The sequence below is a fragment of the Homo sapiens genome, chromosome X (genome assembly GCF_000001405.40).
Source record: "Homo sapiens chromosome X, GRCh38.p14 Primary Assembly".
NCBI classification, from domain to species: Eukaryota; Metazoa; Chordata; class Mammalia; order Primates; family Hominidae; genus Homo; species Homo sapiens.
The window spans coordinates 63,693,820-63,715,136 of NC_000023.11; the positions used below are offsets into that span (position 1 = coordinate 63,693,820).

At 38.7% G+C, this 21,317-nt stretch overlaps 1 protein-coding gene across 27 annotated transcripts in view; it reads right to left on the reverse strand.

The window, feature by feature from the left end:
* ARHGEF9 (Cdc42 guanine nucleotide exchange factor 9) overlaps window positions 1–21,317 on the reverse strand; it is a 150,248-nt gene that overhangs the window by 58,853 nt on the left and 70,078 nt on the right. For 26 of the 27 annotated variants that reach the window (NM_001173479.2, NM_001353922.2, NM_001353921.2 and 23 more), the window contains 2 exons: window positions 12,439–12,630; window positions 3,306–3,485 (listed from right to left, as the gene is read on the reverse strand). In NM_001173479.2, the coding sequence (NP_001166950.1) occupies window positions 3,306–3,485; window positions 12,439–12,630 (372 nt within the window). Of the gene's footprint in view, window positions 1–3,305; window positions 3,486–7,670; window positions 7,824–9,350; window positions 9,466–12,438; window positions 12,631–21,317 lie in introns of all 27 variants that reach the window. The other variant, NM_001369045.1, reaches the window with a different exon arrangement.

Genomic DNA, 21,317 nt, shown 5'->3' on the forward strand with positions numbered 1-21,317 from the left:
TAAATTAAAATTACAATGAGATACCACTACACACCTACATGTTAGAATGGCGAAAATTAAAAAAAAAAATAGTGACTGGCCAGGCACGATGGCTCACGCTTATAATCCCAGTCAGCACTTTGGGAGGCCGAGGTGGGAAGATCACTTGAGGTAAGGAGTTTGAGACCAGCCTGGCCAACATGGTGAAACCCCATCTCTACTAAAAAGACAAAAATTAGCTGGGTGTAATGGCACATGCCTGTAATCCCAGCTACTTGGGACAGTGAGGCAGGAGAATTGCTTGAACCTGGGAGGCAGAGGTTGCTACAAGCCAAGATTGCACCACTGCACTCCAGCCTGGGTAACGAAGCAAGACTCTGTCTCCAAAAAAAAAAAAAAATACTGATAATATCAAGTGTTGATGACCATGTGGAGTAACTTCAACTCTTACGTATTAGTAGTGAAAATGCAAAATGGTATAGAAACTTTGGAAAATAGTTTGGCATTATCTAATAAGCTAAAAAATCTACCATGCCACCTAGCAACCCTAACCCTGGAAGTCCTTAACCAAGAAAAATGAAAACATATATTCTCAAAAAATATTGTACTAGAATGTTCATAGCAGCTTTATGCATTAGAGTTCAAAACTGGAGACAACTCAAATATCCATTAATTTGTGAATAGGTGGTATATCCATGCAATGGAGTGCTACTAAGCAATAAAAAAGGATAAACGAAAGATATATGCAACAGCATGGATGGATATCAAAGGCACTATGTTAAATGAAAGAAGCTAAACATAAAAGATTATATACTGTATGATTTCACATATATGACATTCTAGAAAAAGCAAAATTTCAAATAAAAAGGAGATCAATGTTTGCCAGTAGCCAGGAGTAGGGGCACAGATTGTTTGCAATGTCTAGATAAGAGGACTTTGTGGAGTTATAGAAATGTCCTATATTTTGATTATTATGGTGGTTACACAACTATATACATTTGTTAAAACTCCTTAAAGTATACACTTAAAATCACTTAAAATGAATGAATCTTATTGTATGTAAATTATATCTACGTAAAGCTGATAAAAATGAAATTCTAGAACTAATAAAAGGGTAAACAATTAATTTTAAAAGGTAAAATAATACATTAAAAGAGATAACACACAGTGTTTAAGTGGGGTCTATCCCAGTAATACAATGTTCATTTCACATATGAAAATCATTCAATCCAAATTCACTGCATTAACAGATTAAAGGTAAAAGTATGTTATCATTTCAAAACATAAGTGATTCTTTTTTTTCCCCAGGGGACATTTGTCAATGTCTGGAGACATTTTTGGTTGTCACAACTGGGTAGCAAGGCATTGCTACAGACATCTAGTGGCTAGAGACCAGGAATGCTGTTAAACATCCTACAATGTACAGGGCAGCCCCCGGTTGAGAACCACTATTCTATATTCTACTTTCCCCATTCAATACTATGTTTCTGATATATGTTGCTATAAGGTACATACATCTAGTCTTCGGTTTGTTGCTACATAATACCTCACAATAAGCAAACCCCATCCACTTATATATCTCCCTGGTGATAAATACCTAGGTTGCTTCTAATGGTATTCCAACACATACGACACTGCCATGCAATCAACAACAGCCTTGTATGTGCTCCCTTGTGGACTTCTGTGAGAGTTTCTCTGGAATATACATTCAAGAATGGAACCAGAAGGTCATACACATCCTTAACATTTATAAATACTACCCAGGTGCTTTCTAGAATGGTTGAATGAGTTTACATACCATACAGAAAAGAGTTATCGTATCAGGCCTGAAATTGCTGTTCTCAGAAAAACCTGCTGGAAATATTTCCCCTTGACTGGCATCTTGAAACTTGGTTCTCAAGAGGGTTCCCCCACTATTCCCTGATAAGAGTGGCTCACTGTGTCCAGACTGCCTGTACAAACAATGTGGTTTATGCTAAATACCTGCTTTCCTTCTGGGAGTCTGTAATTTTAGTACACACTAGGCAGAAGGTGTCTACATGATGAGCCCACAATAAGAACCTTGGACACTGAGTCTCTAATGAGTTTTCTTGGCAGACAACATTTTATATGTGTTGTCCCAACTCATTCCTAGGGGATTTATGTGCATCCTGTGTGACTCCATTGGGGGATGGACTCCTGAAAGCTTGTGCCTGGTTTCCTCTGCACTTTGCCCTGTGTGCCTTTTCCTTTTGCTGATTTTACTTCGAATCATTTTGCTATAATAAATCATAGCTATGAGTATAAACATGTTCTGAGTCCTAAACCACATTCAATATAACCATATTCTGAGTCCAAATCACTAAACATAAGAGTGATCTTAGGGAACCCACCCCAACACAGAGTCTCAGAAGTAAAACAGGAATATTTCCAAGAAGGCTTATTTTTAGCTGCATGCTTTTGTGTGTCATTTGAATTTTATATTAAGTGCACATATTAAATCTTTAAAAATAAATACTTTATTAAAAGGGGAAACATGCTGTCAAAACAACTAGGTCACCTGTGAATGAGACTCAGATGATGTCAAAGAACCAGAGAGATCATACAGTGTAACCTCACATTCCAGATGAACAAACCAAAGCCCATGAAGGACTTGCCCAAAGTAACCCAGACAGACACTACAGATACAGGACTCAAATCGTCACTATCCTGTTTCCCAGAGCTCCATCCTCGAAGTCCATGTGTTCTTTTCCTATTTTTGTCACTTCACCTTCTCCAGTGCCCTTCCCATAAATGTCTTGCAGGGACCACTTTCTTACTAACCATGGTCCTTGTTATTTCTCAGATTCCTTGATTCTCTGTGCAGTGAATATTTTGAATTCCTCCCAAAATACTGAGTCTCATGGAAACTTAACAGAAACAAAAAAGGGAAGATGAAGAAAAATTCTACTGGTAACTGCCAAGAAGGAAAGGGAGAGGGGAGGGGAATGGTAAAGAAGGAGAATCCTAGGTTGCTTCTAATGGTACTCCACCACATACGACACTGCCATGCAATCAACAACAGCCTTGTATGTGCTCCCTTGTGGACTTCTGTGAGTTTCTCTGGAATATACATTCGGGAATGGAACCAGCAGGTCATACACATGCTTAACATTTATAGGGCAAATCACAGCACTTTTCTAAGTCCTTGTTTCCTGGCTAGAGACCAGGGGTCAAAATGAAGGCCCAAGAGGAACCCATTCCCCACTGCAGGAAAAAGGAGCTGAACAGAACCAGACAGCTCAAACGCTCCTTCCATTGTTTCCTAACACCTCTCAAAACCCTCCCCAAATGGATAAGATACTTACGTGCTCTAGGAAGCAGGGTCCTATCTCGCTGAGGTGGGGGTCATCATTGTTATACTGTTTCTCCAGGTCTCTCACAAAGCCCATCTGAAATCTGTAGATATCTTCAATGTTCCCAAAGATTACCTTCAGTTGCTCGTCACTGAACATGTCCCTTCTCTTCCGGCACTGCTTCAGATAGCCCTGTAGACAAAGAAAAAGCCTAGGCTGAGGAAGTCCCTGACTTCCAGAAGGCTTTACACTTCCTAAGCACTTAAGAGCCTCATTTTGGTCCCAAGAAGTAGGCATGGAATAATTATTTTCATTTTTCATATGAGGAAACTGAGGTTTACAGAAGGAAGTCACTCCCCCAGTGAGTAATTAGGAAAGCTGGGTTGCCAGCAAAAGTCTTAAGAGTGCAAAGACTCCAAAGTCTTTTCCCTCCATCCTCTATGAAGAAGACCCCCAAAGTCAAATATCCCTTTCCAAGAAGCTGGTTGAGCACATTTTCACAGGTCTTATTAGCTACTGGTTTAGCTGGATCCATTCACATCTCTAAAGTTCTATTCCTTATAGGACCAAACCAAAGGTCTTAATAACATTGACAAAAAATTGGGAACAGAGGCCAGAACAGAAAAACTTCCCACAAGGGAACAGAAATTGACAAAACAAAACCATTTCTTCAAAAAAAAGTTTCCTCATGAACTTTAATGTCAGGAAATAACCAGGAATAATAGTTGTTTATCATTTTAGACTTTCCCTGTTGTGTACATCAAAGTACACATACAATATTTTCTTAGACATTCATGTCTTCACATACTTTAAGAAAATGCATTCATACTATTCACATTATGCAAATATCTGTCAAACCATTTCTCAAAGCAAATTTCTCAACTATCTGAGGTAGCTGGCCAGGAGTGATCATTTAGATGAGCTCAGCCAACAAGCCTATGTGTGCCTGGACATGGTGTTTTTAACAGAACAGGTGTTTAGGACACATTTATAAATTTATATATATATATATAAATTTATAAATATATCATATATATATATATTTATAAATAAATGTGTCCTAACACGTTAATATGTCCTAACACCTAACACATGTGTCTTAAACACATAAATGTGCCCTAAACACATAAAACACATTAATAAAGATAACCACTGATGAAAGAGAAAAAAAGGATGAAAGAGATTCTTGGTCTAGTAAGAAAGCATTGGGGTAACATAAACCAGACTCAAGGCATACTTAAGTCAGGACAAAAACAGCCCCAATCTAAATTGCATCTTCCATTTGGAACCTACTATCATAGGTTTTCACTTGATAGTTACTGTCCTCATTAGAAATCAGTAACACATAAAAATGTTCTTGGTGAGAAGAAATTATAGTCATTTGCTTTCATCAAAAAGCTAAGTGAAATTATCTTAACACTTTTCTTAAGGGTTGAACCCCTAAGGAAGAGTTTTACAGGGACTGATTTACCACATATAGCCCTGTCCCTATCCTCGCTTTGTCTCCCTTAACACAGCTACCAATGAGGTCATCTGGGCACACTCCAAGAAGATCCTCATCCCTGGCTTCAATGTCTTTTACTGACCTCTACAACAAATCTCACTTCCCCTTCCCATATCTGTTCTCACTCTCCAATTTAGCCATTAATTAGTAGGTGTCTTTAAATAGTTGGCAAATTAATAGTCTATGCCTGTGTTGACATCTGTTTAACTAATGATTTGTGCCCTCATTGACTGACATGTTGAAAATTTCCTGCATTCTTTCATATGCAATTTTTGATCAGGAAGAAAATTCCCAGAACACCCTTTTGGCTCCACTACCTTTACAGAGGTTGCTCCCCAAATTCTGCCTCCCTAGAAAGTTTTACATTGACTACCAGAAGGAATGGCAATAAACTCCTGTAGGCCCTTCCCTACCTAATATGTAATTCCCAGAGCCTAGTATGTCTGGGTTGGTCTGTGCCTGTGTGCCTGTCTATCTGTCTCTTTCACCCTACCATCTCTGGACGTGTCTTAGCTACAATGGAGCAGGGAGAGCAGTGAGCATATCATCTCAACATTAAATGGGAGTGAAGGCTTCCTTACCCCTTCTCCCACTTTTTTTTCCCTAAGGCAGGCTGAGGAGCACAGCTGGGGGAAAACAGTAACAGTGGCACATTCAACATATTACTTCTGGGTAAGCAATAGGTACTGATGAGTGACCACAATGAGAGACAGAAGAGGGCAGCGTAGATAGCTCATTTATCTGCTGAGAAGCCAGTTCAGAAAATATTTAATAGTTGTGTCCACTGCTCCTATTTGAAAAGTCTCAGGGAAGAAACAAAACACCATAAAATCACCAGAATTCAACAATGATACTAGAAGTCAACATCAGCATAAAATATAACAGAAATAAAACTAAGAGAGTGATCTTAGGAAAAGACAATGAATAAAGAATTCAGTCCAACTTCCTAAGTCCCTAAATATGTTATTTATTGCCACTCTCAAGGAAATCATTTTCTTTCTATTATATTATGTATGTTATGGCAGGGGATATATTAGGAAGAATGCCCACAGGATGGTAGGACCTTAGAATGTTTTATCAACTCTTATTTTTAAAGCCAATGATAGATTATAAATATATTCTGGTACATTTAGCTTGATGAAATATTACATAGCAGTTAAAATGATAATTAGGAAGACCATGTAGAAACATGGAAAATTGTTTATGATACAATGTTAAAAAGTAGGACATAAAATGGTATATCAGTGTGATTACAACTCTGTAAATATATACACATATGGACAGATTTGAAGGGATTATGCAAAAGTGCAAATAATTCTGTTATAGTTGATGGATTCTGGCTGGTTTTTGTTCCTATTTTTAAACTTCCTCTAATGCTGTTTTTTAATTGTCTTCATGATCAAAAATGGGATAAAAGTCTTTGCCAGAGAGTGTAAAGAAAAGAAAATGCAGCTATAAGAAGGCTGCCTGGAATGAAATATTATCAAGGAAAGAGGAGGGAAGACCCAATGTCTTCTCAAGATCTCCTGCAGCCATAGTATCTAAGATAGTCACTTGCTAAAGATTACAAATAATAGATGTAAACTGCCCTTATCAAAAAAATAAGCGATGAGACATAAGAATATGGGAGTAGCTGGATAACCCCAAAGGGTCACCCTCGACCTCTATACCACACAAGTTTCTGGAAAAAGAAAGGCCAGGAGAAATGATTAGCTCCCTGGAGTCTTGCTTTTTTTATCCCCTTCTTTTGGCTGGCCTGATGGCTATCAAATTTTCCACATCAGTGGTGAACAGAGGGTAGATTAGGGGGTCAATCAATACTTGTCTACTCTCATTCACTCATTTTTGAAGGTATGTAAGTTTAAAATGAGTTGGCAGTGAAATGTGATTGTCAAAAAGCCTAATACCATTTTCAGTTAGAAAAAAGAAGAAATATATTGAGAGGCAAAAATGGGAGAGGCAATTGGAAGGTAGTCATACCACTGCAGGAGAGCAGAATTAAATTTTGAGTCCACCCTCTTTTCAGAGGAACACCAAGAAAATAGCACACAGCCAGAGGGGAGTGAGCAGGGTAGGGAGGGGCCTGAAAAGCAACATCATGAAGAATGATGGAAGACATAAAATTTGTTTGTCTTAGATAACACTCAGGGCCCATTGAAGGCCTGTCACAGGGCAGGGGGAACAAAAGGGGTCTGTGGCTCTTACTGCCAGGTATGCTTTGAACGCCCCATCTGAATGGTAACAGGGAACAGGGTACTATGGCTCAAGGGAGGCAGTTTCCTAGAGCCTAATCTCTGTCTCCTAGGAGTAAAGTGGGCATGGGTGGGAAGGCAGGCCAGAGAGTAGCTAAGATAAATGTGGGTATTATCAAATCAGTCACAACTGGCATAAATTAGCTCTGGCATTGTTATGGTAACAGCAAGGAAAGCTGCCCATCTATTTCACTTTGTTCTTAAACCCACCAGGGCTGATCTACGAGTTGAGACCTAGTGCATTGATCTAGAAGTAATGCCTTGATATGGGATATAAACAATACCCAAGATCTCCAGAAAAGATCCTAGAAACTACCAGAAAATAGGATGAACCAAACAGCCCCTGGATCATCTGGGGTTTAGGAAATTCTTTAGGGAAGGGCCCTCACAAAAAGTTTAGACCTCAGTGTCTCTGTCTCTAAAATGAAGACATCGAAAAAGATGTCCATGGATCCTTTCAGTTCTGACATTCTAGGGGTTTCATATGTCTTTTTTTTTTTGCCTGGAACCTGAGGCCTGATAGGCGACCTGACAAACATCTTGAAGACATTTTTAAGAAAATTAGGAGATAATGACCATGGTTGTTATTCACAGCCGTATCCTCAAAGTTTAACAGAATACCTGGCATATAGTTGCTGCTCAGTTATTTGTCAACTAAATGCTAATTAGTTCTTCCCATGCTGGTGATGATCAAAGGTAAGTTAGAAGCAGAATGTTCAAATTGGTGGTTTTCTTTTATTTCCTTCTTCCTCTCTTTGAGATAGGAAACCCTTTCTTCAAATGAAGTAAAAAAGTTATTCAAAAACAAGAGAATAAAGAAGATACCTGCAACATGGAAAGTTGACAAGGAGTTCATATCTAGAATATACAAGGAACTCTTACAAATCAGCAAGAAAAAAACATAAGAAACTCCATGAAAATGGGCAAAGTATAGGAACACAGCACAGAATGTCCAGACAGAATGGACAGGTAGGGCCTATGGCAGGCAGAAACCCCTGGGCTTGGCATTTTAGGCTGACTAGCTGACTCATATTTTTATCCTAGGATACTGTACAAATATTACTATCTTATACAATGTGTTATCATTTTCTATGTGCCAAGATGTAAAGACTATTGGGATGTATTGAGATAGGCAATTTGCAGAAGGGAAAACCCAAATGGCTAATACGTTTGAAAACCTCAGGCTTAAAATATACCAAATGGAAATGACTTGAAGCTACAGCATGCCTAAGGAAGAATTTCTTGATAGTGAATGGTATGATCACTAATACAGAGTGAGTGAGGAAAGCTAGGCCAGCTTCTCTGGAGGCATTTGAAGACAGAAGGTATTTCATAGGTATCAGATGGCTGAGATTATCTTCCTCAAGAGAAAGCAGACAAGACAGCTTTATAAAGCATCGTTAGCTCTGCTTACTCTTGCCTCAGTTTCCTTGATTGTACTTTGAGTTCTAAGGTTATAAGAGGCAATATCACCAATTGTTGGTCAAGGTGATCTAGAACTAAACTGAAGGTATTTTATACCACTGTCTGGGTTTAGAAAGAAGAATGTAATCTGCAGAGAACTCATTTGAAAAGATTATGTCTCTTACTGACCTCATTGAATAACTTCAATTAAAAACCCCTTTATTTCCTACTTCTTCATTTGTAAAATAAGGGTGTTATAACTTAAATGTTTGTAAAGCACTTTCTGCTCCCAGGAGGGAAAAAGAATGTCCTCTAATAAATAGTGTGACTTTTTTTATATTGAATATAATTTTCCCCCTTTCCCCTTCAACAAGTACAAAAGTAGGAAGTGTTTAGAGCTCTCCCATAACCTACAGAAAGAGTGGTTTATGCCATGTTAACACATCCATGCTTGAGTAAGACATGCTTCCAATGGTACCAAGAAGGAAGAAGCAGAAAATGCAGAAGTAGCCTGGCTCGCTATCACAGTTTTTCTCTAGTGAGGGCATATCTACATCTTACAGAACTAGAGAAAAAGTAAGAGCCAAACAGAACTTAAAGAGCTCCTCCAACCTATGCAATTTAGAGATGGGGTACAAGCCCTAGGGTGAAAAGACTCATCTGAGATTCCCCAGTCAGTTAGTGACCAAGGTAGGTCCTGAACCCAGCACTCCCAATTCTGAGTCTGGTATTCTTTCTGATAAACCATTCGCTCCTCACAGCTTTTGGTTTAAAGATTACACAATCCTGGGCTAAACTACTGTCTTCTGATCCAGCTAGATGCAGCTTTCTCCACTTCCCTTTGATGCCCGTGATTATAGGGTGAGAAAAGGAGATAGCTCCCATTTAAATACTTACCTTCAGCACCAATAATTGTTGAAAAATAAGGAACCAGCAAATTGTCAACAAAAGGTTTGATTGGGTTGGCTGGATTGGAAACTCCTTAAAGCAGGATCATATCACCCCCTACTTTCTGGAAAGACAAATAACTTCCATTGCTGTCCTGAGTCTGTGTCCCATAGGAAGAGGCCAAGATGTGTGGGAGTTGAGAGAAACTTCTAAGGACTTCCACTGGGCTAGTACCTGAGAGCTCTGGGAAAATAATTTTGCTTCTTAGAGATTAAATCTGTTGATCTAGAAAATAGGAATAACAATAACAACTTTTGTCCTGTTTGAAGATCAAATGACATATGATGTGAATGTACTTTGCCAATCAAAGCAGTACATACATGTGAGCAATTATATTTAATTTTGACTTTAAGCAATATTTATCGAGCATCTACTATGTACCAGGCACTGTGCTGGGGGAATATATCAGTAAATCAATAGATGAAAATCCCTGCCCTTCATGGAAAGTACATTCCAGTAGAGGAGACAGACAATAAACAAAATATATAAGTTAAATATATAATATGTCAGATAGATAAATGTAACAGATAGAAATAAAGCAGGAAAGGGGCAGAGGCAGTGCAAGGTTACAGGTTTCAATAGAATGCTTAGAGAAGTCTCAAGAAGATGATATTTGAGCAAAGACTTGAAGGAGCTGAGGATGGGAGCCATGTAAATGTGGGGTGGGGAGGGGAATGCTTTAAGCAGAGGGAAAAACCAGTGCAAAGGCTCTAAGGGAGGAATATATTAGTAATGCTGAAGGAAAAGCAAGAGGCCAGTATAGCTGGAGTAGTAACGAAAGCATAGCAGAAAGGAGCAGGAGGTGAAAGTCATAGAGGCAAGGATGGGTTGACCACACAGGCCCCTGTAAACAATAATAACTTTGACTTTTACTCAGGTAGAAATGGTGAGCCATTGGAAGGTTCTGAGCAGAGGAGTGATATGACCTGACTTAGATCTTGACAGCATCCCTCAGCTACCAAGCGAAGAATAGATTGTACTTAATTTTATGAAAAACACTATGACATTGTAATATAGGTATCATTTTGGAGCAATGCTCCTCAAACTTTAATATGTATTATACATCAAATAGTAACTTTGTTAAAATGCATAATCTGATTCAGTAAGTCTGGGTTGGAGCCAAAGATTTTGCATTTATAACAAGTTTCCAGGTGATGCAGATGCTGCTCTAAAGTACGACACTTTGAGGCTAGAAGTTATGTCCAGGCCTGGCACAGAACAGAATTCCACTAAAAGTTTGCCGAATGAATGAAATGTCAGTGGTTTGATGCTGAATGCCATGTAGCACATTCCGAGGGGGAATTTTTTTAGCATCAGCCATTGATGTGAAGGGAGGAGGAAGAAGAAAAAGACATATGGATGGATGGGTGAATAAATTTAAAAAGGAGGCAAAAAAGAAAATTACCTTTTTCCAAATACAGCATAGGTTATTGCAATATTCTATTTACTTAATTTCCTCAACAAACTTAAGAGATTGCTATAATGAAGCCCATTGGAAAAATAAGAAAATTGAATGTCAGAGGAGTTAAGGGGTATCTTCAAGCCCACAGGGTTAATTAATGACCAAGTTAGAATGTGAAAAACCAGCATTCCATGTCCCCAGACCTCTTGTTCTTTCTACTCTATCTGCCTCATGGCAGGGCAGGGAGTGGGGCAGTGGGAAAAGATAACTTTTAATCTTCCTGAAAGGGGTGAGAAAATGAGTTGAGATAAAGAAAGTTCAGGCACAAAATCCTTGGCCTTGGTGTTTCCAGAGCTATACTGTTCAATGTGGCTGTCATTACAGATATATGGTTACCTAAATTAAAGTTAATTAAATGTAAATACAATTTAAAATTCCATTTCTCAGTCATACCAGCCACATTTTAACTCTTCAACAACCATAAATTGTTGGCTTATAGCTACTATATTGGAGAATGCAGACATGGAACATTTTCATCATTGCAGGAAGTTCCATTGGGCAGTACTGATGTAGAGAAATAAGAACTTTGAAAAATGTTGGAGCTGTACTACTGACTCCACAGTGGACCCTAGGCTGGGGGACAGAAAATAGAACCTAACCCCTCCTCTGGAAGGAAGGAGACAAAAAGATTCAATGCAGAGTTTTCCGAGTCAAGAAGAAAGATATAAGAGAGAATGTGTGTGTGTGTGTGTGTGTGTGTGTGTGTGTGTGTGTGTGTGTTTAATCCTTTTAAAACGCTGCCTTCATTTCCCATTGGTTTTCCCTTCCTGTTCAGTAAAATGCCCTTTAAAAATGCCAACTTGCAGCTACTAAGCTTAAGAGAGTACGAGAGTGAAGGCTCTCATCTTCATTTAGGACAGAGAGATGGAAGGAATGGGGTTAGGGAATGTAGAGAGACAGCTCTTGGGGAAAAAAAGTGACATACTGAAGGAGCCCAGGTTTGTCCATCCAGCCTCCATCTTCTGTGGAGTCCTGTCTCCAAGCTCTTTTCTGCTTAAACTCACAACCGGTGTTCTCCAAGTGAGAGAGTAGGACCAGCAGCATCAGAATCACCAGGGATGCTCATTAAACCTAAAAATGCTCATGCCTTACCTGAGACTGATAATTCATGACTTGGGGGACAAGAGTGAGAGGGCTGCTTAACAAGCTCCCCCAGAAACTCTGGTACATATTGAAGTCTGTGAATCACTGGCTTGGCGGGAGATGCATTTTGCTTTAATGAGTGAGGTTAAGCCCTTACATGAGATGGCTGTAACTGGATCAGATACCAAAAAGATAAAGGTAGAGATGCAGGGGAGAGAAGGAGGAAGACTAAGAAAGGGTAAAGACAGAGAGACAATGAATATAAATGAATAAATATTAAAACTAGACAGAGAGAAAAATGTGAAAAACAGAGATTGAGAAACCCTAAGGAAGCAGTTTTACCTCACTGACCCTAAGGAAGCAGTTTCACCTCACTGAACAGAATCTGGGAGGCTATGTGCCCTTTCCAACATCTTGGGACTGTCACAGGCAGGGCCCAGGAGGGTTGCTGGTTCTTCGTGGAAGTGCCTCCACATGAACCACCATGGTTACCTCACAAATATCCTTGAGGTGCTTGATGTAGTGACGCTCAGTGCTCATTATCTCATTGATGACATTGGCCCGCATCTGGTCCCGGTTCTGTAGTGGCCGCCCCAGACAGAGGCAGTCTGAATTGGGGTCCAGGTGTCCGTTCTGCACATCGCTGGGCCCCTCCTCCACCTCATCCTCCTGGTTCACCCAGAGCTGTGGAAGCAGGCAAAAGAAAAATAATGAGTTAGCTTCCTTCTTTGGGAGGTTTCCAGGCAAGTAGAAAAAGGATGAACTGAACTTCTCAGGTATTCAGAGAACCTTCAACCAGAGACCTGTGCAAGTAGAATTCGAAACCTGGCTCTAGGGTGACTTTTTGCCCTGGGCATGGGTTTAATCTTCTCTAGGTCTCTGGTGACCTATCTGTAAATAGAGTGGAGGGACTAAATTCATTCATGCTGGAGCACATCTAGGTAGCACAACTGGATTTTTAAAAAGGTTAAGCTATACATCTTGAGTGCCACATTTGGATTGCTGTCAAAACACAGCATTTATGCACCTGCAAGTATAGAGGCCAAAGTTAAATACTAGAGTGGGTGTCTTGAAAACAAAGTTTAGTGTTGATTTCTGTGATGGGATATACAAATAATCATCAAAATTTGACTGTAAAGTGCCTTGGACATGCAAAGATCTCTACCTCTTCAAGACTGGGATAGGGATGGGAGAATACTTCCCCACCACATACTAGCAATAGCTATTAATTGGCACCAACTATACACCATTCACTGTGCTAAGAGCTTGCAATATACTGTATTCAGCCCTGCTAGATAGGTACCACTATTATCACCATTTCACAGAAAAGGAGACTGAGGCTCAGAGAAGTTAAGTAATCTATCCCAAGTCGCACAGGAAGCAGAGGAGCTGGGATAGGAGCCAGTCTGTCTCTAGAGCCTATGCTTTTAAACACTGTGCTAGAATCTTTGTGCCTCTGGTTCTAAGGAAGACAGGAAAAGAAAAGGAAAGGGCTTGGGCCAAGGTGGGCAGACAATTATTAGAATCATCAGAAACTGATAAATTCGCTAACAGTTGAGACTGTCCATCCTAAATCATGAAGGCAGTGGGAAGCTAAAAAAAAAAAAAAAAAAAAAAAACCTTTGGGACGGCCGAGTGAGATGTCTCTGGATATTCTAGATGACTTTGACTGAAAATCAAGAAGGCCCAAGAAGATAGCCCTTCCCGCCACCCCCCACAGTCCTAGGAAGTGGGGAAACCATGGGGGCAGGAAGGAAACGAAGGGTGGGCCCGCTTGGCAGAGTGACAAAATCTGTCAGGGGTAATTAGCCAAAGAGCTTGCCAGTTGTCTCAACAGGTTTAATCAATTCTCCATATTTTCCATATTTTCCCTCCTTAAACCCCAGTTTTTTCCACATTCCTGCCTCAAGAAGCTAAAATCACACAATTTAGATGCATCCCTATTTCTGCCATCAGAAAAGCCTTTTAGTGGGTAATCACTCGGGGGGAAGAGGCTTTGGGATAGAACTAGAAGGATGGTAGTTACTTCCCAACTCTGTATATTCTTCCTTCTTTCTTTTTCTCACAGGAGGTGAGGGGGCATGATTACCACTCAGTGAACTTAGAGATGTCACCAGCGTATATCTCACTGAATTGTCACAGGCCAAAGTAAATAGGGCTCACTCTGTTTTTATGTATTTTGTATATACAGCCAAATTTGCAAAATGTATCTCTATCCAAAACCTATCACCCTCTGCAAGTGCTCCATTATAAATATCTTTCCAGCTTCTAAAAGGTCAGCTTTGTGTCTTCAATATGCTAATAGCTGTCCTTTAATGCAATCAGTAAGCAATATGAGAGATAATTATTCAAAAGAATAGACCTGGGCAAAAAAAAAAAGTGATTTAAGGCACTGAAACAAACATCTCATATACATGATGCTGTCTATTTGTACCAATGAAAACCTCACCCTCTTAATAATCCATTAGCTTTTCCCTGCTTCTCACAAAGCAAGCTAAACTCTGCTATGGAAAGGGTAACATAGGCAGGCCTTTAAGGAATAAGAATCATTTCTTTTCTTCTTAGGAGTTTAAGAAAAGTCAGGTCCAAATGTTCACTTTTGGATAGCTGGAATAAGATGAATATTTTGAACAATTCTAGTGGGAATGAAGACAGGATATGAAGGAAAGGGGAAGCAGATGTAAAGGCAGAAATAGAACCACATTTAGGTTCAAGCTATACACCATGACACTGTCGTTCCAAATAACAATGAGAAAAGACGAAGGCAACTGCAGCCAAGTGAAAACAGATTCCTTATAAAGAATTTGGTAGAGAAGTCCTTCTGGTTATAACTAAAGGCCTGTGTAGCAGGGTCCTTCATAAGGAGCTTCTGAGAAGACACCTTCATCTACTCTACTGCAACAACCCCAGAAGCCCATTCCTTAGGTTAAGATGCTGCTTTCATCCCAAAGAACTACTAACAGATTCATTCATTCATTAAATCTATGCCAAGTGTGGATAATGTGCCAGGTATTAGGGATACAACAGCAAATAAAAAAGACAGAAATCACTGCCCTTTATAGAGCTGACATTTGAGGGAAGATGTTTCTTAGCCTAGAAAAAGGTGGCATATAAGGCCTAACTGTTTTTCTCCTGATCCCAGGTTCCCACAAAACATCCCCCGGGCCTAATGATAAGACTTTCTGGTCTAACCTCTAAGTCCTCTGCTCTTGAGAGCTTATCTGTTCTGTACAGAGGAAGGTCTTTGTCTGCATGTATGTCAGAGTGCACTGACACAGGTCAGCCCATATGCTTATCTGCCCTGGTTGAAATATCAGACCAGAGAGCCATTATCAACCCTGCCCAACAATCCGTGCAGGCTAATGTGTACCTTTTCTTCATTGATGCTGCAATTAGCACATATAGATGCCTGGGTGACAAGTAAGAAGATAGACAATGCCTGGAACATGCCAGGTTGAAAGGCTGTCCTGGAAGTCCTCTTAGAGTGCTTAAAGGCTGGGGAAACCAGCCTTTGAACTTCACTGAACTCCGAAGCAAGGCTGATTAATGCAGTTCAATTTAACAAATACTTTGGACCTATTCTGTGCCTAACCACTAACTGTGAAGGACATGAGGATGAGCAAGACAACTCACTCCTCCCTCCTCCTTCTAAACCACGGAGTGCTTTCCAAATTGGAGACAATCTCTGGTCTTTATTACTCCCTTTTCTATTTTCACTGTCATTGCTCTCATACTTTTATACCTGAACAAGTCCCTGGGTGATCCTCTAGCTTTTACCCTTCCCACATACCACTATTAGACCAATTTCCTTGACTATCACATTGACTGGCTAATCCCATAAACCCAAAATCCTTAATAGCTCTCCACTGATTATAAAGCAAGTCCAAATCCCTCACCCTGACATTAAAATATTACCATAATCTGACTCCAATCTGTATTTCCACTCTTACTTCCTACTACTTCCTTTAGGAATATTGGGTTCCTCCCAGACTGGTCTATTTTCCGTCCACAAATATTCTCATCTATGTCCTTTAATCCCATGCTCAAACATAGAAATACTATAGTCCAAAGGCTTTCAAAAACTTCAGCAACAGTAATCCATCCTCTCAATTTCGTAATAAAGAAACTGATACCCACAGAGACAGCCAGGGAGTTAGCAATATACCCATATCTTTAATGTGCATTTTTATTTTGTGCCTTCCATTTTTTTTTCTATTTTTAAAATTATACATTATACAAGAACACATTTGCCTTGCAAAAAGTTAAAATAGAAAAAATAGATTAAAATTATTAAAATCATGGATGAAAGAAGAAATATTACTACCAGTCTTACAGAAATAAGAATTAAAGGGAATATTATGACCAATTGTATGCCAATAAATTACATAACCTGATGAAATGGATAAAGTCCTAGAAAGACACAACCTACAGAAACTGACTCAAGAAGAAGTAGAAAATCTGAGAAGACCTATAACAAGAAAAAGATTTAATAAATAATTTCATTCAATCTTGAAAACTTCCCACATGGGAGAAAAAAAAAAAAAAAAAAAAAAAACCTCAGGACTAGATGGCTTCACTGGTGAATTCTACCAAACATTTAAAAAATAACTAACATCAATCTTTCACAAACCCTTCCAAATAACAAAAATATAGAAATCCTCAATAAAATACTAGCAAACCAAATCCAGCAACATATTAAAAACAAATTGCCCACCTTACCAGATGCGATTCCAGGAATGGAAGGTTGCTTCACATATGAAAATCAGTCCATGTAAATTACACCATATGAGTGAAATAAGGTTACAAAATCCCACATGATCATCTCAACAGGCACAGAAAAGGCATTTGCAAAATCCAACACCCTTTCATGATTAAAAAAAAAATACTAAACAAACTAGAAATAGAAGGGAACTTTTCTCCAAATAATAATGAACATTTATAAAAAATCCATAGTTAATATCATATTTAATGGTGAAAGACTGAAGGCTTTCATCCTACAATCAAGAACAAGACAAGGATATTCACTTTCATCACTTTTATTCAACCTTATACTGAAGGTTCTAGCCAGAGCAATTGGACAAAAAAAGAAATAAAAGACATTGCATCAGAAAGAAGTAAAACTATCTCTAGTCACAGATCATATAACGTGATATACAGGAAATCATAAGGAATCCACCAAAAAAAAACCTTTTATAATGAATAAATAAGTTCAGCAATGTTGCAGGATATAAAAATCAATTATGTTTCTATATACTAGCAATGAACAATCTGAGAGTTAAATTAAGAAAATGATCACATTTAAATAGGAAAAGAAAGAATACATAGGAATAAATTTAACAAAAGAAGTGCAGTCTTATACAATGAAAACTGCAAAGCATTATTGAAAGAAAGTAAAGAAGAACTATATAGAAAAACCTCTCCTATTCATGGATTGGAAGATTTAATGGTGCTAATATAGCAATACTCCTCAGATTAATTCAGATTCAACGCAATACCTATCAAAATCTCACCTGGTGTCTGCAGAAAATTGAAAAACTGGTACTAAAACTCGTATGGAATTTCAAGGGACCTAGGATAACCAAAACAATTTTGAAAAAGGAGAATAAAGTTGGAGGACTCACACTTTCTGATTTCAAAACTTACTACAAACCTACAGTAATCAAGAGAATGGGGGACTGGCACAAGAATAGATATAAAGATCAATGAAATAAAACCAGGAGTCCAGAAATATATCCTACATTCATGCTGAATTGATATTTGTCAAAGGTGCCAGGATTATTCAAGGGGGAAAATATAGTTTTTTCAACAAATGGTGCTGGTACAACTGGATATCCACATGCAGGAGAATGAACTTTGGCTCCTACTTTACACTATACACAAAAATTAAATCAAAATGGATGAAATATCTGAATGGAATCAGATTATAAAAGTCATTAAAGAAAACATAGAGGAAAATCTGTAACATTAGACAATAGTTTCTTAGATATGACACCTAGAACACAAGCAACCAAGCAAAAATAAAGTGGACTTCAACAAAATTAAAAACTTTGTGCTACAAATGATACCATCAATAAAGTGAAAAGGCAACCCAGTAATGGGAAAAATATCTGCATATCATATATCTGATAAAGATGTAGTATTCAGAATATATGTAACTTAACAATAAAGTAACAACTCGCTTAAAAATGGGCAAAATATCTGAATAGACATTTCTCCAAAGAAGACATATAAATGGCCAATAAATACATGAAAAGATGCTCAATATCATTAGCCATCTGAGAAATGCAAACCAAAACCATAAAAAGATACCACTTCACACGTCCTAGAATGGCTGTAATAATTTAAAAGGTCAATAACAAGTATTGACGAGCATGTGAAGAAATTGGAACTCCCACGCACTGCTGGCAGGAATGTAAAATGGTAGAGCTGCTGTGGAAAATATTTTGGCAGTTCCTCAAAAAGTTAAGCATATAGTTACCATATGATTCAACAATTCCACTCGTAGGTGCGTACTCAAGAGAAATAAAAACACATGCTCACACAAATTCTTGTACACAAATGTTCATAGTAGCATTATACATAACAACCAAAAGTAGAAACAACCCAAATGTTCATTAATTGATGAATGGATAAACCAAAATATGGCATAGTTATGTAATAGAATACTATTATTATTGGAAAATTGCTAAGAAAGTACAGTTTTAAATGTTCTCACTACAAAAAATGATAAGTATGCGAGATGATGATATGTTAATCATTCCACAATATGTGTATACATATATATATATCAAAACATTACATCCCCCAAATATATACAGTTTTATCTATTAAAAATGATTTTAAAAATATGTTCCAGAATTAGACAATGGTGATGGTTATACAACTTTGTGAATATACTAAAACCCACTAAACTGTATACTTTAAAATGGTAAATTTTATGGTATGGAAATTATATCTCTATTAAAATAAATACATAAAAAGCTAAAACTGTCTAGATAAGGTGAAATTTCCCCTGATTGTTCCTCATCCTAACCATATTCTACCTCTCCTGAGGAAACCATGGTTATGGATTTTGTGTGAAATCCTTGTCAACCTCTCTCCTTGCATTTATATACCTATATGCATATTCCAATAGACTCACCATTGTTCCATATGATAAAGTGATGATTACCCAGCCCTTGGTACAACCTCTTCAACATCTTTAGTAGCCCCTCCCTGCAAATGGATCAGTAGTTCTAAAAGAAAACTACCATAATATCCAGCCAGTAATTCCTTCATAAAGTCAATAAAGGCTCAAGGAGTGTCTTAGAAAGCCAGCCGGCCCCTGTCTCCAGCAGTGTAATATTTCTGAGAAGAGAATGGGTAAGCGGTATTGTCTAAATCTCACCTTGATATTTTCAAAGGCCAAATCTAATCAACCAGAGAGGAGTAAAAAGCAAGACATCCTTTGAGAAGGTGAGGGGTTATTGCCAGTCTTATTGAACAATAGACTCTCAGAGCTATAGAATCAGTTTATAAAGGAAATGGAAGGTGGACTAGTCCATGCCACCCCTTGCTCCCCAATCAATACATAAACTCCCTTGACAACATACCCTGCCAGCAATTGCACAGCCTATCTGCTTGAACACAACGAATGATGAGATTACTGTCTCCCAAGGCAGCCCTTTCCTTTTTCAGATAATTCTAATCATTCTAATCATGAGCTCTGTCTCTGTCTGAATAAAGTTGCCAGCCAAAAATCTCAGCAAACACTACAAAAGGGCAAAACACAGATAAAGGAGAGATTGGAGGGAACGTGAACTCTTCAATAACAAAGGTCACCAAAAGGCCTTTTCTCTGCCACCACAGTGAAGCAATGGTGAAGTGTGGATACAAAGGTGAATGTGAGGGACTGAGAGGAACCTGGTTAGTTGCAAGCAGAGCTCCCACTTCACATACACACACACACACACACACACACACACACACCCAGTTTTGGAGCCCCAGTCTCAGCTTTCAGGAGGATCAGAAGTGCTTAGGGATTCCTGAATGTGCATGCCAGGAAGCACTTAGCATTCCTGCCTGGCACAAAGACAATCAGCACGGTATGTACAGTCAGACACAGAAACTACTCCTCTACCCCTCAAGGGAAGATTTAATAACTCTCACTAATTATATGAAGTATCATAATAAGAAGGCTGCTAACAAATTGTTCTCCCTCTCCAGCACCAACACAATGAGAAATAAGGAGCTTCAACCAGAGCAATGAAAATTTTTGTTATATAACAGACAAAAAGAGAAAAAGAAAAGACCTGTGTGAATATACTGTTTTTGCATTCATGGCTTCCCATCAGCACATTAAAATGGGACCGACCCACCGAGTTTCACTGCTCTTCAACACAGACGTGTGACCTCAGGCAAGCTACCCTTCCCATTCATTCCAACACATTCTGTTTATTCACACCTCTGTACCTTGTATCCTTCTAAAGCCTGCCCCCTACTCCTTCTTCAGGAAGGCCTTCCCTACTCTTTTCTATCATTCTTCTTTTGTCCCTGGCTTCTCTGAAAACCTAGTTCAAGAACAGTGTCTTCCCACGAACTCTCTTACTTGGACTTCAAAACAGCCCTGCAAGGCAGGCAAGCAAACCTTTTTATTTCCATTTCCCAGATGAGAAATCCAAGGCCAGACAGGGGGATGCATCAAAGTGGCAGTCAGGATTGAAGCAAAGTCTCTGGACTCTTAGGCCAAAATTAGGAGAGACAGTCTGTGACAGTGGTAAAGGGTGAAGACTCGGGATCCTGATTTCAAATCCTGGCTCTACAACTACCTCTGAGTAACACAGAGTAAGCAACTTTAAGTTTTCTGATCCTCAGTTTCCTTACCTCTGAAATAGAAATAATATCTATCTATCTCATGGGGCTGTTGTGAGGATTAAATAAGGTAGTTTATTTAATCCTTATTAAACTGTGCATGTAAAACAGTTTCTAGCACAGAGTCAAATATTAGCTGTTCTTGTTATTATCCCCTAGGTTGGCATCATCTGCCCCTAGAACAATGAAGCAACATATGAGAAACATTGTCCTCTCTAGTCAGGGAAGAGTTTTAGGAAGTACTTTTGTAATTGCTTTGCAATTGTCCCAAATTTCTTATACCCCAAATGCCACCTCCTTGACAACCAGACTCAAAAACCCTTCCCAACGAATGGAGACTTACTTAGTCGAGGCTGGAGGTATTGATGATTTCTGCCCATGACAAGGCTTCTTAAAGTGAGAACTCAAGCTAGAATGGGGGTGGATTGGAGTGTAGGGAAACCCTTCACAGATAACATAGCTTCCTTCCCAGTCAAGAAAACTAGATGCCTCTAATAAGAACTACACTCCACTCTACCCCT